At 50.5% G+C, this 17,554-nt stretch overlaps 4 annotated features.

The window, feature by feature from the left end:
• Window positions 624-1,124: an enhancer, noted in NCBI's record as "H3K4me1 hESC enhancer chr22:36001614-36002114 (GRCh37/hg19 assembly coordinates)". NCBI's record gives its function as "activates a minimal SCP1, AML or CMV promoter by ChIP-STARR-seq in primed H9 embryonic stem cells {active_cell/tissue: H9 hESC(primed)}" and the evidence as "EXISTENCE:reporter gene assay evidence [ECO:0000049][PMID:30033119]".
• Window positions 7,650-8,391: an enhancer, noted in NCBI's record as "H3K4me1 hESC enhancer chr22:35994347-35995088 (GRCh37/hg19 assembly coordinates)". NCBI's record gives its function as "activates a minimal SCP1, AML or CMV promoter by ChIP-STARR-seq in primed H9 embryonic stem cells {active_cell/tissue: H9 hESC(primed)}" and the evidence as "EXISTENCE:reporter gene assay evidence [ECO:0000049][PMID:30033119]".
• Window positions 14,190-14,751: an enhancer, noted in NCBI's record as "H3K4me1 hESC enhancer chr22:35987987-35988548 (GRCh37/hg19 assembly coordinates)". NCBI's record gives its function as "activates a minimal SCP1, AML or CMV promoter by ChIP-STARR-seq in primed H9 embryonic stem cells {active_cell/tissue: H9 hESC(primed)}" and the evidence as "EXISTENCE:reporter gene assay evidence [ECO:0000049][PMID:30033119]".
• Window positions 16,491-17,466: an enhancer, noted in NCBI's record as "H3K27ac-H3K4me1 hESC enhancer chr22:35985272-35986247 (GRCh37/hg19 assembly coordinates)". NCBI's record gives its function as "activates a minimal SCP1, AML or CMV promoter by ChIP-STARR-seq in primed H9 embryonic stem cells {active_cell/tissue: H9 hESC(primed)}" and the evidence as "EXISTENCE:reporter gene assay evidence [ECO:0000049][PMID:30033119]".

Raw genomic sequence — 17,554 nt, 5'->3', positions numbered from 1 at the left:
GAGGAAGGCAGACCCTGGGCTTGTGTGTGCAGAGAGCCTCAGGAAAGAGGAGAAGGGGAGGAGGAAAGGCAGGAGGGTGAGAGGGACAGGAGCCCACCCTCCCTGGGCCACCGCTCAGAGGCAGGCCCAGTGCAGGGCATGGGGAAATGGAAGGGACAGGCTTGGCCCCAGCCTTGGGAGCACCTTCTCTTCGGGGGAGGTGGGAGGCAGCGAACAGACCTCTGCAATACGAGGAGAGAGTGACAGGTGCGCCAGGCTGTGGGAACCCAGAGGAGAGGGGAAGCCATCATCATCATGGCTGCAATACCTTCAGTAACATGGGAAGGTCACCCTGCTAGTAAGTGGCAGAGCTGGGACTCAAACTATGGCCTGGAAGGCAGCAGGGACTCCAGCCAGGGAGAGAGCAAGGCGGCCAGCCAGTGGCAGCTGCTGACCTTCTGGCCACAGAGAAAGGACAGACACATGGGGAATAATTTACAAACACAGGCCAGGAGACAAAATCCATATCAGCGAAGGCAGAGTGCACGGGCAGAAAATGTAAGTATTGCTGCGAGGGCCAAAAATAAAATGTTGGCATGTAATTGTGGCAGCCAGGAAGCAGGCTGCAGCAAAGGGTGTGGAAAGGGGCCTGGAAAAGGGCCTGGTGGGCTGGACCGGCCCACGTGCCCAAGCCATGAGGTCCTAGAATGCCACCACGACTCTGGGCGCCATCTCTGGGAAGCCCCAAGTCCTGGGCACCTTAAATCTCCAGTAGCTCCCAGAACAAGGGACCTTGAGCCCCCCTGCCCTTGAGCATCTGTCTTGGGGTCCAGCCCTACCCCTACCCCACGATAATCGTGACCTCACTGCCCCAAACCTCAGACTAAGCTCAGGCTCACGGCTGCTGGGCAGAGCAGTGCTCCTCTGCTGGATGTGGACACGTCCCAAATCCTAGCACACTTATTTACCAGGCTGTGCGGTGGCACCAGACAACCGCATTAAAGGGGAACCTTCTTCCTTTCTGCGCCAGGATTTGGGAATTCGTATGCTCTATGAAGAGGTGGGAGAGAAAGGAGGGGAGTTCAGGGTGAGGGGAGCTTTTTGATCTTGGAGCCTGGAGAAAAATTCCACATACTTAGAGAGTAATTCAATTGAACACTCAGGCAATGAGCAGTTCTGTAGAGGATTCATGTGCAGGATTTAAAGTTGAATAAACTGGGTCCCTGTCTGCAAGCCATTGACAATCTAGTCAGGGAGACAGATGTGTTCTGATAATTAAATCAGGGCAGAACACCATTAAGGATGCAGAGATGCACCCGTTACTTGTTATTCATTCAGCATCCATTGAACAAATGTGTGCTAAGCAGAGCAATTTTTTAAAAAAATTCCCAGTTTATGTGCACCTTGGATGCACACGATGCAACTTATTCTTTGTGTGTGTGTGCTTGTGTGTGCACGCCTGTGACTCAAGGGGACTTCTGTTTTGAATCTTCATTTTGCATGAGTGGCAAATACTTAATCTCAATTTATTTGAGATTTTTCTGTGGTTTTTGGGCTGATTCCAAGGGGCTTATGTGTGCCAAGTTGTGTGCGTGCATGGGGAGGTGGCAATCTGGTGGCTGCTGTCATCTGTCCCCAGGGTTGACCTCAGGACTGCTGCACCCACCTGGTCCTTAGTCATTGTTCCTTATCAGATCCTCTGCGTAGGAAACTGTGATCGCTTTTGCCTGGGACCACTTCCTCCCTGAAACACTCTTGCCCCATGAGGTCTCTGCCTGGAATGTGAGGCATGGATTTTCTCTGTGTTCAGACCCCGCAGACCTGTCTGAACTTTTTTTTTTTTTTTTTTTTTTTGCCTCTTTTAGGACTTGGTAGGGCTTGTGCAAGGCGGCTCTGTATGGTTGTATGGGTTGTGCACTCCACATGAGTGCCTGGACGAAGCGGGTAATAAGAGCTGGATGTGAACTGTGCTCCAGTTACCAAGCTGTGCACCCAGGGGGGTGCCTTTTCCTAACCCACACAAGGTGCTTTATGAGCAGGGACAGAGCCTCTTTCTCTGAGAACTACCAGCATCTGCAATCTGGGTGTTTTCTCTGCAGTTCTCTTCTTTATGACAGTTTCAGAAAATGATTCTCCAGCCTGGAAAGCAGAAAACTCTCATGATTTCCTCCAAGTATTTTCTCCTTTCTGTGTATTCCTTCTGGTTCTCTCTGAGTCTAAGCTTTCGACACTGCAAATCCAGGCAAGAGACATGGGTTTTTTGTTCTCAGCTGTCACATCCTTCCCTGAGGCTTAGGGAAAGAAATACTTTGCTGTCTAAAGAAGAGGTGAGAGCAAAAGGAATAAGGGCAATCCTGGGGGAAGAATAGAGGTTAACATTTAAAAAATATCCTAGCGGGGTGGTGGCTCATGCCTGTAATCCCAGCACTTTGGGAGGCCGAGGCGGGTGGATCACCTAAAGTCAGGAGTTCGAGACCAGCCTGACCAACATGGTGAAACCCCGTCTCTACTAACATACAAAATTAGCTGGGCACAGTGGCACATGCCTGTAATCCCAGCTACTCGGGAGGCTGAGACAGGAGAATTGCTTGAACCTGGAAGGCAGGGGTTGCAGTGACCTGAGATTGCGCCATTGCACTCCAGCCTGGGGACAAAGCAAGACTCAATCTCAAAAAAAAAAAAAAAAAAAAAAAGGGAAACTCTGTCTCAAAAAAATAAATAAATAAAAATATCCTACCGCTGTGACATGTATTCTACATTAATGTAACCAGTATTTATTGAGCATCTACCATGTACCAGGCCCCAGACTGAGACTTAGGCTTCAGTCTAAGTCACAATCGTGAATAAGGCAGACATGGTCTCTGCTCTCATGAGGCTTCCGCGGTGTGGGGATGAAGGAGAAAGTAGCCCATGCTAGGCCTCGGGGACAATAAAGGATTTTTATGAGCAAAGAAGGGGCCGGACATAGTGACCTATGCCTGCAATCCAGCACTTTGGGAAGCTGAGGCAGGTAAGTCACTTGAGCTCAGGAGTTTGAGAACAACCTGGGCAACATGGCGAAACCCTGTCTCCACAAAAAAATAGAAAAATTAACTGAGCATGGTGGTGCACGCCTGTAGTCCCAGCTACTTGAGAGGCTGAAGTGGGAGATCACCTATGCCCAGGGAGGTCAATGCTGCACTGAGCCGTGACTGTGCCATTGCACTCCAGCCTGGGCAACAGAGTGAGGCTCTGTCTCAAAAAAAAAAAAAAAAAAAAAAAAAAAGAAGTAGGAAGAGAGTTTCAGGTGTAGGAATTGCCTAAGGAGTGGCTTTCCAAATTCACTCAGTCATATATTCACACATGCATTGATCAAATATTTCCTGAAGCCTGCAGGGTGCCAGGCACTGAGCTAGGCTCTGGGGTGCCACAGTGAAGCAGACAGGCCCTGCCCCTGCCTCGGGGAGCTGACGAGGCACAGGGCTCTGAGAGTATGAAGATGAGGTGTGGGAGTGATGGCGGGCCCAGTCATGGTGGATGAAAGTCATAAAGAGTCAGCTGCTGCATAAGTCAGGGTTTTCCAGAGAAACAGAACCAACGGGAAGTGTCTACATAAATGTTCATGTTGCCTTTTCTACATTCACTTTTTTTTTTTTTTTGAGATGGAGTCTCGCTCTGTCACCCTGGCTGGAGTGCAGTGGCGCAATCTTGGCTCACTGCAACCTCCATCTCTTAGGTTCAAGAGATTCTCGTGCCTCAGCCTCCCTTGTAGCTGAGATGACAGGCATGTGCCATCACACCTGGCTAATTTTTGTATTTTTAGTAGAGATGGGGTTTCGCCATGTTGGCCAGGCGATCCACCTGCCTTGGTCTCCCAAAGTGCTGGGATTACAGGTGTGAGCCACCGAACCAGGGTCCTACTGGGATACCACACTAGTATAACATGTGGATATGGATATAAAAGCATGTTGTAAACTGTAGAGTATTTTAGAAATTAAATGGTTCAGGAGGTCCCAGTAGGACCCTAGTTCTGAACATCTGATTCCTGAAGCTGAGCTCTGTGTGTGTGCGTGTCTCTGGGCACACACTGGGTGTGTGTGCGCGTTGGCATGTGTGAGTCTGAGTGTATCAATGTCTGTCTGACTCTCCTGCTGTCAGGTCTGATCTTGGCTTCTAGCCACATTACCTGCCACTTTGGAATCCACAAGAGTCACCCCCAGGACAGCCCAGGCAACTTCTTTAAAATCTGGCCCTCCTGACTCTGCCTGGGACTGTGGCTTTCTGGGTGGAGCCTGGAGAAGTTGGATAGGATGTAAAAGAAACCAGGGCTTGGGCAATATCTGGGGAGCAGAAGTGAGAAACCGTGAAGAGCTGTGCGGGGTGACTCACTCGAGACCTCAACGTGGACAGCGAGCCACTAGCTGAGCAGAGCTGGGGCATCAGGTGACAGCAAAACAATGAGGGACAGGCTTGATAAGGTATACACACATACACGCACATGCAAATACACACAGACACACACGTAAATACACAGACACATAAACACTCATATGTACACCACATGCACACACACATGCAAATACACACACAGACACAAACACATGTACACACATGCAAATACATACAGACACAAACACATGTACACACACATGCAAATACACACAGACACACACATAAATACACAGACACATAAACACTCATATGTACACCACATGCACACACACATGCAAATACACACACAGACACACACATGCAAATACACACACACAAACACATGTACACACATGCAAATACATACACAGACACAAACACATGTACACACACATGCAAATACACACAGACACATATACACAAACGTACACACACATGCAAATACACACACAGACACACACTCATACACATACACACAAATACACAGACACGCACATACACAAGCACATGTACACCCACATACAAATACACACATACAAATACACAGACACACAACCACATACATACACACATACACACAGACACAACCACACACACATGCACACATACATAACACACATACACATATGCACAACCACACATATATGCACAGAAATGTACACACACATGCACACATACACATGTACAATTCTCACACTCATGTACACATGGCACACAAATACATGCATATACACACAACCGCACATACACTCTCACACACACACACTCTTACATATATACATTCACACACAGACACACACATACATGCTCACAGACATACACACTCACACAATGCACACACACACACCCTCACACAAATGCACACACACATGTACATACACCTGCACATGGACACATACATAACACACATGCAAATACACACATACACACAAACACACATATATACACAAACATGTACACACAATACATGCACACACACACGCACAATTCTCACAAGCATGTACACGTGACACACATATACATGCATATACACACACCCGTGCACACATACACTCACACACTCATAAATACACACACATGCACACACACTCTTACATACACATACACACATTCACACTCTCACATACACACACATGCACACATAACACATGTACACACAAATACATACAATCACACACATATACCCATACACAAACACACTCACATGTACACAAACACACACATACATGCACACATAGACAATTCTCACATATACATGCACACATATGCACACACACATGCACGCACACACGCACACACGTTTGCCATTTTATTAGTAATGAAAATGGCATCTTATATTTCTATTCTATTGTGTTTTCTCTCTCAGGTGCACACATGCATACACACACACAGACACACACACATATGCACGCACATGCACACCATTCATTGTGTGCTCCCAGACACGTGAAAGTGGTATCTTAACAAACAGACACAAAACCTTCCCCTTCTACTGCCCTCTGTCAATGCTGTTGCTTTTGTCTGACCACAGATTACCCACAAATAAAAAAATTCTTCCCATGCTGTTATTTTACACAGAAATACTGAACCTGTTAGCACACTCAGAAGGGCAAAATCTTTGCTGAAAATGTTCCAGTCATCAGAGGGCATCGGTTCCTCAAAAACAACGAGCGTCCGCTCCGAGGCGCGGAGCCTCTCCCATCTGCTGGGTGGCCTTCCCCATGGTGGCTGCGCAGGTTTCAGCCTCCTTGGAAGTTTTCCCACCGTGTATCAGAGTCAAGATCCCCCAGGGGCAGGGCGGCCACCCTTCACACATGCGTTAGAGAGAGGAGGTAGTTTTGCGGACCTGGTGAATTATGAAACTGGGTGATGTGGAGCTCCAGGTTTTGAGCACAGGGACCAAGTCCTCTGACAGATGTGGGAGGGATCAGACATGGGGGTGAGGGGCACTGGGCATTTCTGCTTCAGCCAGAGCAGCGGCACCTTTGGCCAACGTATCTATTGGGGTTCCGCATGATGTTTCATTAGAAATAAGCCAAGTGGGGTGACCACTGAAAAGAAAGGGTTGCTTAAACCACGAGCCTAGATGGATGGTTCTCAGGGGGGCTTGTATTTGGATATCAGGAGTATTTTGTTGCAGTGATGAAAGTACTGACAGTAAGAGGAGGGGAAAGCCAGCTATGAGGAGGGCCCAGCCCACTCTAAATATTTATTTACTTACTTATTTATTGAGACAGGGTCTTGCTCTGTCACCCAGGCTCGAGTGCAGTGGTGTGATCATGGCTCACTGCAGCCTCCACCTCCCAGGTTCAAGTGATCCTCTCATCTCAGCCTCCAGAGTAGCTGGGACTACAGGTGCACGTCACTATGGCTGGCTAATTTTTAAATTGTTTGAAGAGAAGGGGTCTCTCTGTGTTGCCCAGGCTGGTCTCGAACTCCTGGACTCAAGCGATCCTCCTTCTCAGCCTCCCAAAGTGCTGGGATTACAGAGGTTAGCCACCAGGCCAGGCCTAAATATTTAATATAGTCCAATGCATTGAATCTTTCAACAGCCCTACCAGGTAGGCATTATTATCATCATTGTCATCATGTTGGTATGGGTCAACTTGGCTAAGCCATGGTGCCCAATTGTGTGGTCAAACACCAGTCTAGATGCTGCTGTGAAGGTATTTTGAAGATGCGAGTAACATTTAAATAAAGAGACTTAGAGTAAAGCAGATTACCTCCATAATGAGGGTGGGCCGCACCAATCAGTTGAAGGTCTTACAAGAAGAGGCTGAAGTTCCACAAGGAAGAAGGAATTCTGCTTCCAGACTCAAGGCTGCAAAATCACTTTTCCCTGGGTCTCCAGCCTCCCGGTCTGTCCTGCAGATTTCAGACTTGCCAACCCGCATGATTGCATGAGCCAATTCCTTAAAATAAACCTCTCTATATATACGTCCTATTGGTTCTGTTTCTTTGGAGGACACTAACTTCCACAATGATCCTCATTTTACAGATGAGGAAACTAAAACAGAGAGAGTTTGAGTAATTTGCCCAAGACCACCAACTAAAAAGAAGGCAAGTTGGGATTTGCACCTGAAATCTGCCCTTCCTTCCTTCCTTCCTTCCTTCCTTCCTTCCTTCCTTCCTCCCTCCCTCCCTCCCTCTCTCTCTCTTTCTTTCTTTTGACAGAGTTTCACTCTTGTTGCCCAGCCTGGAGTGCAATGGCAGCTCACTGCAACCTCTGCCTCCTGGGTTCAAGCAATTCTCCTGCCTCGTCCTCCTGAGTAGCTGGGATTACAGGTGCCCACCACCATGCCCGGCTAATGTTTTGTAGTTTTAGTAGAGACAGGGTTTCACCATGTTGGCCAGGCTGGTCTTGAACTCCTGACCTCAGATGATCGGCCTGCCTCGGCCTCCCAAAGTGCTGGGGTTACAGGCATGAGCCACCACACCCCGCCAAAATCTGTACTCTTAAATGCTTGCAGCACCCTGCCCCCTAGGACATACAGGCTTATGCCACCAGCGTGGCATGCCTCATCAGCTTTGGGACAAATATTCTCCCGATTTTCACATTTTTCAAAGTAAAATCAGTCTGAGCCTCCACTTCCAGATTAGCAGCAAGTCTGACTTCTCCTGTGGGCTCTACTTCCTCTCCCTGAATTGCCGGAGAATGCAGGGGCTGGCTCAGCCCAAGAGGGCCAGACAGGTTGCACATGTGTGGTGGCGCTGGAGGCCCTGATCCGCCTGCCTGGGGGCCAGTTTCAGGCACTGCTGCCCTTTCGCCACCATGCAGTTGTGCTCTGGGCACCCATCCTGGGCAAGCTGGCAAGTCCTTGTCCAGTGCCCATAACCTCTGTCCTGGTCCAGACCCTCACCTGCAGGGCTGCAGGGAGCCCCAAGCTTGTGCTTCAAAGGCTGGTGGTTATCACTCAAAGCTGCACACCCTGTCATTTTACTCAAGGCCCAGGCTCGGGGACTAGGGGCATTGGGGCCTCACACTGCAGAGCTGAGCGAAGGATCCTTCAATAGGAGAATGCCAGCCTCGCTGAGCCAGTCCCCAGGCATCCTTCCGGCAAAATGTGGCTCTCCTCTCCCTGGCCCTCAGAAGGGAAGGGTGAGGCCTCCCGGGAGCCCTGTGACAAGTCTGTCTGCCCCATCCCCAGTTCTTGCATCTGAGGCTGCTGGGAAGGGTGATCTTCTTCAGGAGCTTGGTACGGGGGCTCTTCCGCCAGGCTGCGGGGGATTCCCAGCTGGTAGTCTTCCTGGAGCCGGTTGGAAGCATCATGACACCAGTTCAGAGTGAGTCCCACCTTCCATCCTGTGGGTGCCCTGACGCAGAGCCGCTGACTTTTGCTTGAGCCAGGGCAAGACTCACTAACACGCCAGCTGAAGCCAAGTGACCAAATCCTGCTAAGCACCTGCAGGCTGGACTGGCAGGAGTTCAAGCCTTGGGGGATGTCCCAATGGCTACCAGGGCCTGGGGCCTCATTTCTCACTTGTCACTTACACGGGAGTGTTCATGAGAGGCCATTGAGCATTGCAAGACTCTACTTATCAGAGGTGAGCGTTCCAGGCGAACCGGAGGCCACTGCCATTCAGTTGAAACTCTTGGATGCTTTTCAATGGCAGCTTCTTTCCAAACAAACAAACAAACAAACAACAACAACAACAAAAACATATTTTTTCAATTCCACCTAATCAGGTACCTAATACATTTCATTCACCAAATACCTGTGAAACACTTACTGTTTCAATTTCTTTTCCTTTTCCTTTTTTTTTTTCCTTGAGACGGTCTCGCTTACCCAGGCTGGAGTGCAATGGTGTGATCTCGGCTCACTGCAACCTCCGCCTCCTGGTTTCAAGCAATTCTCCTGCCTCAGCCTCCTGAGTAGCTGGGATTACGGGTGCCCACCACCATGCCCGGCTAATTTTTGTATTTTTAGTAGAGACAGGGTTTCACCACATTGGCCAGGCTGGTCTCGAACTCCTGACCTCAAGTGATCTGCCTGCCTCAGACTCCCAAAGTGCTGGGATTACAGGCATGAGCCAATGCACCCGGCCTTATTGTTTCAATTTCTATTGCTGCGTAGTAATAAAAATAGTATGTAATAAATAGTAATAAAGTCACCCCAAAATATAATGGCTAAAACACAACGGTTCTGTATCTTATTATTGCCTCTCCTGGCCCTAGGAATGGAGCAGGCTGAGCAAGCAGGTTTTCACTCAGGGTCACTCACACAGAAACTAGAGCCACCCCCTCGGGCCTGGATCATGTAACCGGCTGTCAGTTTGAAAACCCACACACAGCCCAAGGCCACGCTCCAAACCACTTGGCAATTCTGCCCAAGTCACTGGGCAAATAACTTTCAACGGCTCCTTCTCATTGCGCATGGGAGAAAAGTTCAGACAACGTGGCCCAACTTTTCCCTCCTGAACCCTGATTTGATGTGCAGTCTACAGTGCCTGAGCCCTGGGTTTGCTGTTCCTGGACTATCCAGTGCTCTCGGATGTCAGCCCCACTTTGCGGGCTGGAGTCTTTTTTTTTTTTTTTTTTTTTTTTTTTTTTGAGTAGTTTCACCCTTGTCACCCAGGCTGGAGTGCAATGGTGCGATCTTGGCTCACTGCAACCTCCACCTCCTGGGTTCAAGTGATTCTCCTGCCTCAGCCTCCCGAGTAGCTGGGATTACAGGTACCTGCCACCATGCCCAGTTAATTTTTGTATTTTTAGTAGAGATGGGGTTTCGCCATGTTGGTCAGGCTGGTCTCGAACTCCTGACCTCAGGTGATCCGCCCACCTGGGTCTCTGAAAGGGCTGGGATTACAGGTGTGAACCACCACACCCAGCCCCTTTGCACTCTTGAAGCCTCACTTTGGGAAGTGTTTCCTCTCCTCCCTGCCCATCCAGCCTGGAGCTGGCTCTCCTCCCTCTGGCACAACCCTTTCTCGAAGCACCCATTGCATTGCATACATGACATGTGGCCGCTCTACTTCTTCTTGACATGGCGACTGGGTTCCAAGATTAAAGGACCCAGGAGAAGGAGCCTGGCAGACGCTGGATGCTTTTTGTGACCTAGCCAGGTCATAGGTGGATTCAAAGATTTTCTGATTGGCAATTGGTTGAAACAGCTATTATCTAAAGACCTGGAATCAATAGAAAGGAATGTCTGGGTTAAGATAAGGGGTTGTGGAGACCAGGGTTCTTATTGTGCAGATGAAGCCTCCACGTAGCAGGCTTCAGAGCAAATAGATGGTAAATGTCTCTAAAAGGTGCCAGACTCTTAGTTAATCTCTTTTGGGTCAGGACAAGACCTGGAAAGGGAAGGGGATTCTCTATAGATTGTACATTTTCCCCATCAGAGATAGTTTTGCAGGGCCGTTTCAAAATATGTCAAAGAAATATATTTTGGGGGTAAAACACTTTGCTTTCTTTCTGGGCTTGCTATGTCATGTGATGCAATACTGGAGTCAGATTGGAATTTGGTGTCTTATTGCTATAAGGAGGCTGCATTGGCTGGGCATGGTGGCTCGCGTGTGTAATCCCAGCACTTTGGGAGGCCGAGGCGAGATCACCTGAGGTCAGGAGTTTGAGACCAGCCTGGCCAATGTGGCAAAACCCCATCTCTACTAAAAATACAAAAATTAGCTGGGCATGATGGCAGGAGCCTGTTATCCCAGCTACTCAGGAGGCTGAGGCAGGAGAATCGCTTGAACCTGGGAAGCAGAGATTGCAGTGAGCCGAGATCATGCCATTGTACTCCAGCCTGGGTGACAAGAGTAAAACCCCATGTCAAAAAAAAAAAAAAAAAAGAGTCTGTATTGTCAATCTTAAAATCTGTTTCATTGTTAGTGCTGGTCAGTTGTACCTGAAATCCAAAGTGAGGAGGGTATAATGAGGCCTGTCTGACCCCTCCTTCCCCTCGTGGCCGGAACTATTTTATCAGGTTTACTTTGGAATGCCCTTGGCTGTAAAGGCGGTCCATTCAGTCATGGGATGGCTTAGAATTTTATTTTTGGCTTACAATCTACTTCCCCACAAGTTGCCTTTCCCTCAAGGCCACAAGATGGCTGCTACACCTCCAGATATCACATCCTCACTCCACATCCAAAGGCAGGAAGAGGCAATTCCTGCTTCATGTCCTCATTTGAAGGTATGGAAGAACTTTCCAGAGGCCCCCTTCCTCCTCCCTGGCAGATTTTCTCTAAGTTCCCATTTTCCAGGACTGGGTCACATGCCTATGCCTAAGCCTGTCACAGTCAAGACCACCATGATGGGCTGGGAGCAACTGTAACTCACCCTTGGGGCAAGACTGAAGTCATCTTCTGTGAGCACCATTGGGGGTGAACTTCCAAACCAACAGGAGACTCTTCAGGCAGGGCAGATGGGATGCCGCTGGGGAGGGCTGGGAACCGATGGCATTGGCCATGAGGATGGCATAAGGTAGCAGGTGCTAAGCCCTTAGCCCGGGGCTGGGATGCCAGTGACACTCGTGCTCATGCCTGAATCAACAGCCCATGCTACACAACTCTTAGTCGTCACTCACCCAAGCCCCTGAGCCTGGTCTGCCTCTTCCCAGAGGTGTGATTTGGACATGTTTTTTCACTACTGTGTGCCTCAGTTTCCTCACCTGTGAAATGAAAATAATAATTTTTCTTCTAATTACTTATGCCAAAGGCGTTTGTGAGGATCAAATGAATTAATACACACCAAGCGCCTAGAACACCTTGTTCTTCCCCCATCATCAATGAGAGTGGCCTCAGGGGTGGACGGTGGCAGGAACTGGGTCCCGTTTTCCTGAATGTATTTCTTTCCTTAGTGAAGGGATCCCAGGCTGCAGTTTCTCACTGAGGAAGGGAGGAGGGGTCTTGGGGGGAGGAGCACACGCCACGTCTCACCCTTTGCTGAGAGGGCCCACAGGCCTCATGGGAAGGACACGTGCTCGGCTGGATCACCTCTGCCCCTGTGCAGGGAGCACCAAGGACCAGAGAGGGGGTGCAGGTGCTGTGCAGGGGTGGTGAGGGGACAGTCACGGTAATGGGACAACTATGGGCTGGGAGGAAGGAGGTGGAAAGTCCTGCCCGCAGCACTCAGGCTCCCCTAGGTCCCACCCACCACCGTGTCGCTGTGTGGCCTCGGAAAAACGTCTCCGCCTCTCTAAGCACCAGCATCCCATATGCTACATGGGATCAGTCATATTGAACCAACAGTGGAGCACTGAGTGTCAAAGCATTATCCAAATCTGAGGAATGAGGAGGCTGGGACCATTCCCAAGTGGCCTCAGCATCACAGGGTCTGAATGCCAGAGTTCCGGGAGCCCTTGGTGGTCACGTAGCTCAGATTTGTTTTTCCAAGTGAGGAAGCTGAGGCCCAAAGAAGATAAACCTTGATCAGGCTACCATGGTGAGAGGGAGGCCCTGCACGCCAAGCCCTCCCCCTTTCAAAGGATTTGTGCTAGGGACTCCGCAACTGCCCTCTGGCTCTGTTTCTGTTTCTTCCATCTCGTTCTGGCTTCTCTTCTGCTTTTTTCTCTGTGCCTTCCCACTCTTCCTCTCTCTCTCTCTCTCTCTCCCCCTCCCCCTTTTCTGTCTTTCTTTCCCTTTCTCTCTCTCTTTCTCTCCCTCTCCCTCTCTCCCCTTTTCTCTCCTTTCCCTCTCTTCCCCTCACCTCTCCCTCCCTCTCTCTCCCTCCCTCTCTCTCCCTCTCCCCACCTCTCTCTCCCTTTTCTCTCTTTCTTTCTCTTTCTCTCTCTCTTTCCCTCTCTCTCTCCCTCTCTCCCCCTCCCTCTCTCTCTCTTTCCCTCTCTTCCTCTCACCTCTCTCTCCCTCCCTCCCTCCCTTTCTCCCTCCCTCTCTCCCTCCTTTTCTCTATTTGGTCTCTCCCTCCCTCCCTCTCTCTTTCTCTCTCTTCCCCTCACCTCTCTCTCCCTCCCTCTCTCCCTCCTTTTTTCTATTTGGTCTCTCCCTCCCTCCCTCTCTCTCTCTTTCCCTCTCTCTTTCTCTAGCTCCCTGTCTCTCTCTCCCTCTCTCACTCCCTCCCTGTCTTCCTTCTTTTCTCTCTTTCCATCCCTCTCTCTCTCTTTCCCTCTTTCCATCCCTCTCTCTCTCTTTCCATCTTTCCATCCCTCTCTCTCTCTTTCCCTCTCTCTCCCTCTGTCAATCTCTCTTTCTCCCTCCCTCTGTCCCCCCACCTCCATCCCTCTCCCCCACCCTTCTCTCCCTCCCTCTCTCATCGGTGTGGGTATGCCTGTTGGTCTCTGAAGCAGGAGTTCTGGTGCTGTGGGTCATGGCTCCTTGCATTACTCCCTCTGTCCCTCCCTCTTTCCCATTTCTGATTCCATAAATTCTCTGAGATTTTGTAAACAATTTAAAATAAAGAGAAAAAAGTTTAAAAGCACAGAGTAGGGATGAGAACAGGTTGTAATTCACTGGGGTGCAGTGAGGCCAGGGCCTTAGAGAGTGAAGTGGAGCTCTGTGCACATGTGCCAGAGAGAGACAGAGAGAGAGGAAGGGAGGGACAGAGAGAGAGAACCAGTGAGAAGAGTGAGCAAGATGGAGGAGGGACAGAGAGGCAGAGACAGGGCAAGGGCAGCTTCCCCAGCACAAAGCCCTCTGGAATGAGGGGGACCTTCCCGCACATGCTTTACAGGCCCAGGGAGCGCAGCTCAGACCCGGCTGGCTGGATGACCTCAGGGCTCCCTTTCACCCACCCAGGTTCTGAGTCCAAGGACAGCACAGTGTCCAGAGCCCCAGTAAAAATAGAGCCGGAGTGGTGGCTGGCCTCCCAGACCTCTGGCTGCCCAGGGCCCTGGAGAGTCAGCCCAGTGCCTCCAGAGGAGGAGGAAACTGCAGCCCAGAGTGGGCAAGTGACCTGGCCAGGGTCACAGAGCAGTTGGGCAGCAGAGCTGGAGCCGGGGCCCCAGGCCTCCCAGCTGACACTCTCCACAGTACCTGAGCCCTCCCTGCGGGCCCTGAGGCAGGCCCTCCCCTCTCTGGATGGTGACAGACTGACTTACTTGAGTCTCCACTGCCTGTAATCTCCTTGAGGCCCGGTGGGGTGGGTGGGGCTGTGCCCCTGCAACGCACTTACCAGGCGTAAGAAGAACAAGAACAAACAGCTCACAAGGTGTGCCGGGTGCCTTCCGAGCACTGTACACATACTCACTCATTCATCTTCAAACCAGGCTTAGGAAGCAGAAGCTGCCATCACGCCCATTTTCCAGATGAGGAGACTGAGGCCCAGAGAGGTTAACTGAATTGCCCAAAGTCACAGAGCATGAAGTTTGGTGTGGCTGGTACTCCAAGCCAAGCTGTCTGGCTCTAAACAAATTAATGGATGCAAAGGAAAATAAAGGTTTGGTGCTCCAGCATAGCTAGCAGCTGCTGCTGTCATTTGATTTTGGGGCCTCTGAAGGTCACAGAGTCCTCCCTACCACACACACAGGCAGGCTGGGCCCACAACCGTACCCTCAGAGTTCCTTTTGTAGGAGACCGTGGTGCTGGGAGCGGAACCACTCCTTCACACGCTAAGCCTCATTCCCAGCCGGATAATGCCTTGTCCATCCCCAAGGCGGTTTGGTGGGATGGGTCAACATGGGAGTACAAAGCAGACAGCAGCCTGAAAGAGCATGTTCCAAAATTTTCTTTCTTTCTGTTGAGGTATGGTAATCGTTTTAACAACACAAAGTTCCAGGAGGTGGCTCATGACTGTGGCACTTTGGGAGGCCGAGGTAGGAGGATCCTTTGAAGTCCGGAGTTTGAGACCACTCCTGAGCAACATAGCGAGACCCTGCCTCTAAACAAAAATAAATAATATTTTAGTCCCAGCTACTTGAGAGGCCAAGGCAGGAAGATCACCTGAGCCTGGGAAGTTGAGGCTGCAGTGAGCCATAATCGCACCACTGCACTCCAGCCTGGTGACAGAGTGAGATCCTGTCACAAAATAAAATAAAATAAAATAATACAAATACAAAGAGTATTTCAAGAGGGCCTGAAATGTTTGTGTTTATCCTAAGGGGACTTGCCAGGAATGGGGTGGGTAGAGCCCCCTAAGGGCGTGAGGGCCCCCAAGTAGGCTGACCCAGGGGGCAGGCTGGGGAGAGCTGTCTCCCAGCCCCAACAGGTGCTGGCCAGGCCAGTCCTGGCACAGCCACCCGGGTGCTGGTGATAATCACGTCCTGGGGGTCAGCTTCAGCTAGAAAGGGACAGGTGTCGGGGGAGGGTGGAGGTGGCAGAGGGGACAGTGGCTCAGGCTGAGTCATCGTAGGAAGGCTGGCGGCTGCTGGGGGCTGGGAGTGTGGGCAGAGGGGACCGTTTCCATGGGGGAAGTAAGGCAGGAGAGGGGGTAATTATCAGGAACCTGTGACTGCGCCAATCAGTGCCAGAGAAGGGGTGGCCCTCAGGAGTTCCCGAAGGTACATTTAGCCACCCCACCCCTTCCCCAGTGGCTGCCTTATATATTTCCTTTTCTCCCTGTAACTCGAGGGTCTAGAGGCCGGACCAGTGCCCCTCCCCAGGCCCTTCACCCTCCAGCCCTGGCCCTCAGGACTCACAAACTCCCCGACCCTCCCAGCCTTTCTTCCAGTCCTAGATCCCTGAACCTAGGCCCCTGAAGCTGTCTGGCCACTCTGGATTCTGGCCCTAAGAAGGGTGGCTGAGGTTCTCTGGAGTCAGACAGACGTATTCCAGATCCCACCCACCATTTCTGAGCCGGGTGACCTTGGGCAAGCTCTGAACCACTCTGAGCCTCAGTTTCCTCATCTATAAAGTTGAGAGAACAGGCCACGCATGCTGGCTCATGCCTGTAATCCCAGCACTTTGGGAGGCCGAGGCAGGTGGATCACCTGGGGTCAGGAGTTCAAGACCAGCCTGGCCATCATGGCGAAATCCTGTCTCTACTAAAAATACACAAATTAGCTGGGCGTGGTGGCGGGCACCTGTAATCCCAGCTACTCAGAATGCTGAGGCAGGAGAATTGCTTGAGCCCGGGAGACGGAGGTTGCAGTGAGCCGAGATCGCACCATTGGACTCCAGCCTGGGTAACAGAGAAGACTCTGTCTCAAAAATAAATAAATAAAATAAAATAAAATTGAGAGAACACTGTTTTTATTGCAAAATGTTATTGTAAGACTTCAAAAAGCGGTGCCTGCAAAAAGGCCATATATCGTGTGATTCCATTTATATGAAACACCCAGAAGAGGCAAATTGATAGATACGGAAAGTAGATATGTGGCTGTCCAGGGCTAGAGGTGAGGCGGGTTGTGGCGACGGGGGCTAAGTGCTTCTGGGTTTCTTTCGGGGGGTGGTGAAAATGTTCTAAAGTGGATGTGGTGCTGGTTGCACACCTGTGGATATGCTAAGACTCACTGAACTGTGCACTTTGTTTTTGTTTGTTTGTTTTTGAGACAAGATCTCACTCTGTTGCCCAGGCTGGAGTGCAGTGTTGCAATCTCAGGCTCCCAAGTTCAAGCAATCCTCCTACCTCAGCCTTCCGAGTAGCTGGGACTAGAGGTGCATGCCACCACGCCTGGCTAAATTTGTTTATTTTTAGTAGAGATGGGGTGGGTCTCACTATGTTGCCTGGGCTGGTCCTGAACTCCTGGCCTCAAGCGATCCTCCTGCCTTGGCCTCCCACAGTGCTGAGTTTACAGGCTTGAGTCACCGCACTCAGCCTGTGCACTTTAACTGAGGAGAGCGTATGAGTGTGACTTGCTCTGGGTGGCAGCGGGGCTGCCTGGGCGCTAGAGGCTTACAGCCCAACCTTGTGGCTGTCTGGCCACCTACCCCATGTCCTGACCAGGGGCCAGAACTGAGTCATTTTCCAGAGGGCGGAGGCTGAGATTTTCTCACCCAGTGTGCTCATCCCTTACTCCCAGGAAGGGGAACGCCAGTCCAGGGTGACTGAGGTCTCAGGGGCCACTGCTAAGCTTCACTCCTTCCTGGCTGGCTCTGTGGCCTCGGGCAAGTGATTTCACCTCTCTGGCAGCAGTTTCCTCTTCTGAAGAAATGTAGATGATGAAATTCCCAGTCCTTATCTCACAGGCGGCTGTTAGGCTCAAATTTATGAGGACACCTCAAGAAGGGTTTAGTGCATCCTACATGCTTGGAAAATAGCTCATCATCTGCTAGGAGGGAGGCATGGGCAGGGGCAGAGTGTGGGCCAGAGACCCCGTATCCCATCCACTTT

This window comes from Homo sapiens, chromosome 22, assembly GCF_000001405.40.
Source record: "Homo sapiens chromosome 22, GRCh38.p14 Primary Assembly".
Classification (NCBI taxonomy): Eukaryota; Metazoa; Chordata; class Mammalia; order Primates; family Hominidae; genus Homo; species Homo sapiens.
Note: the sequence above shows the minus strand (reverse complement) of the source record. Positions and strands in the feature narration are given on the sequence as shown.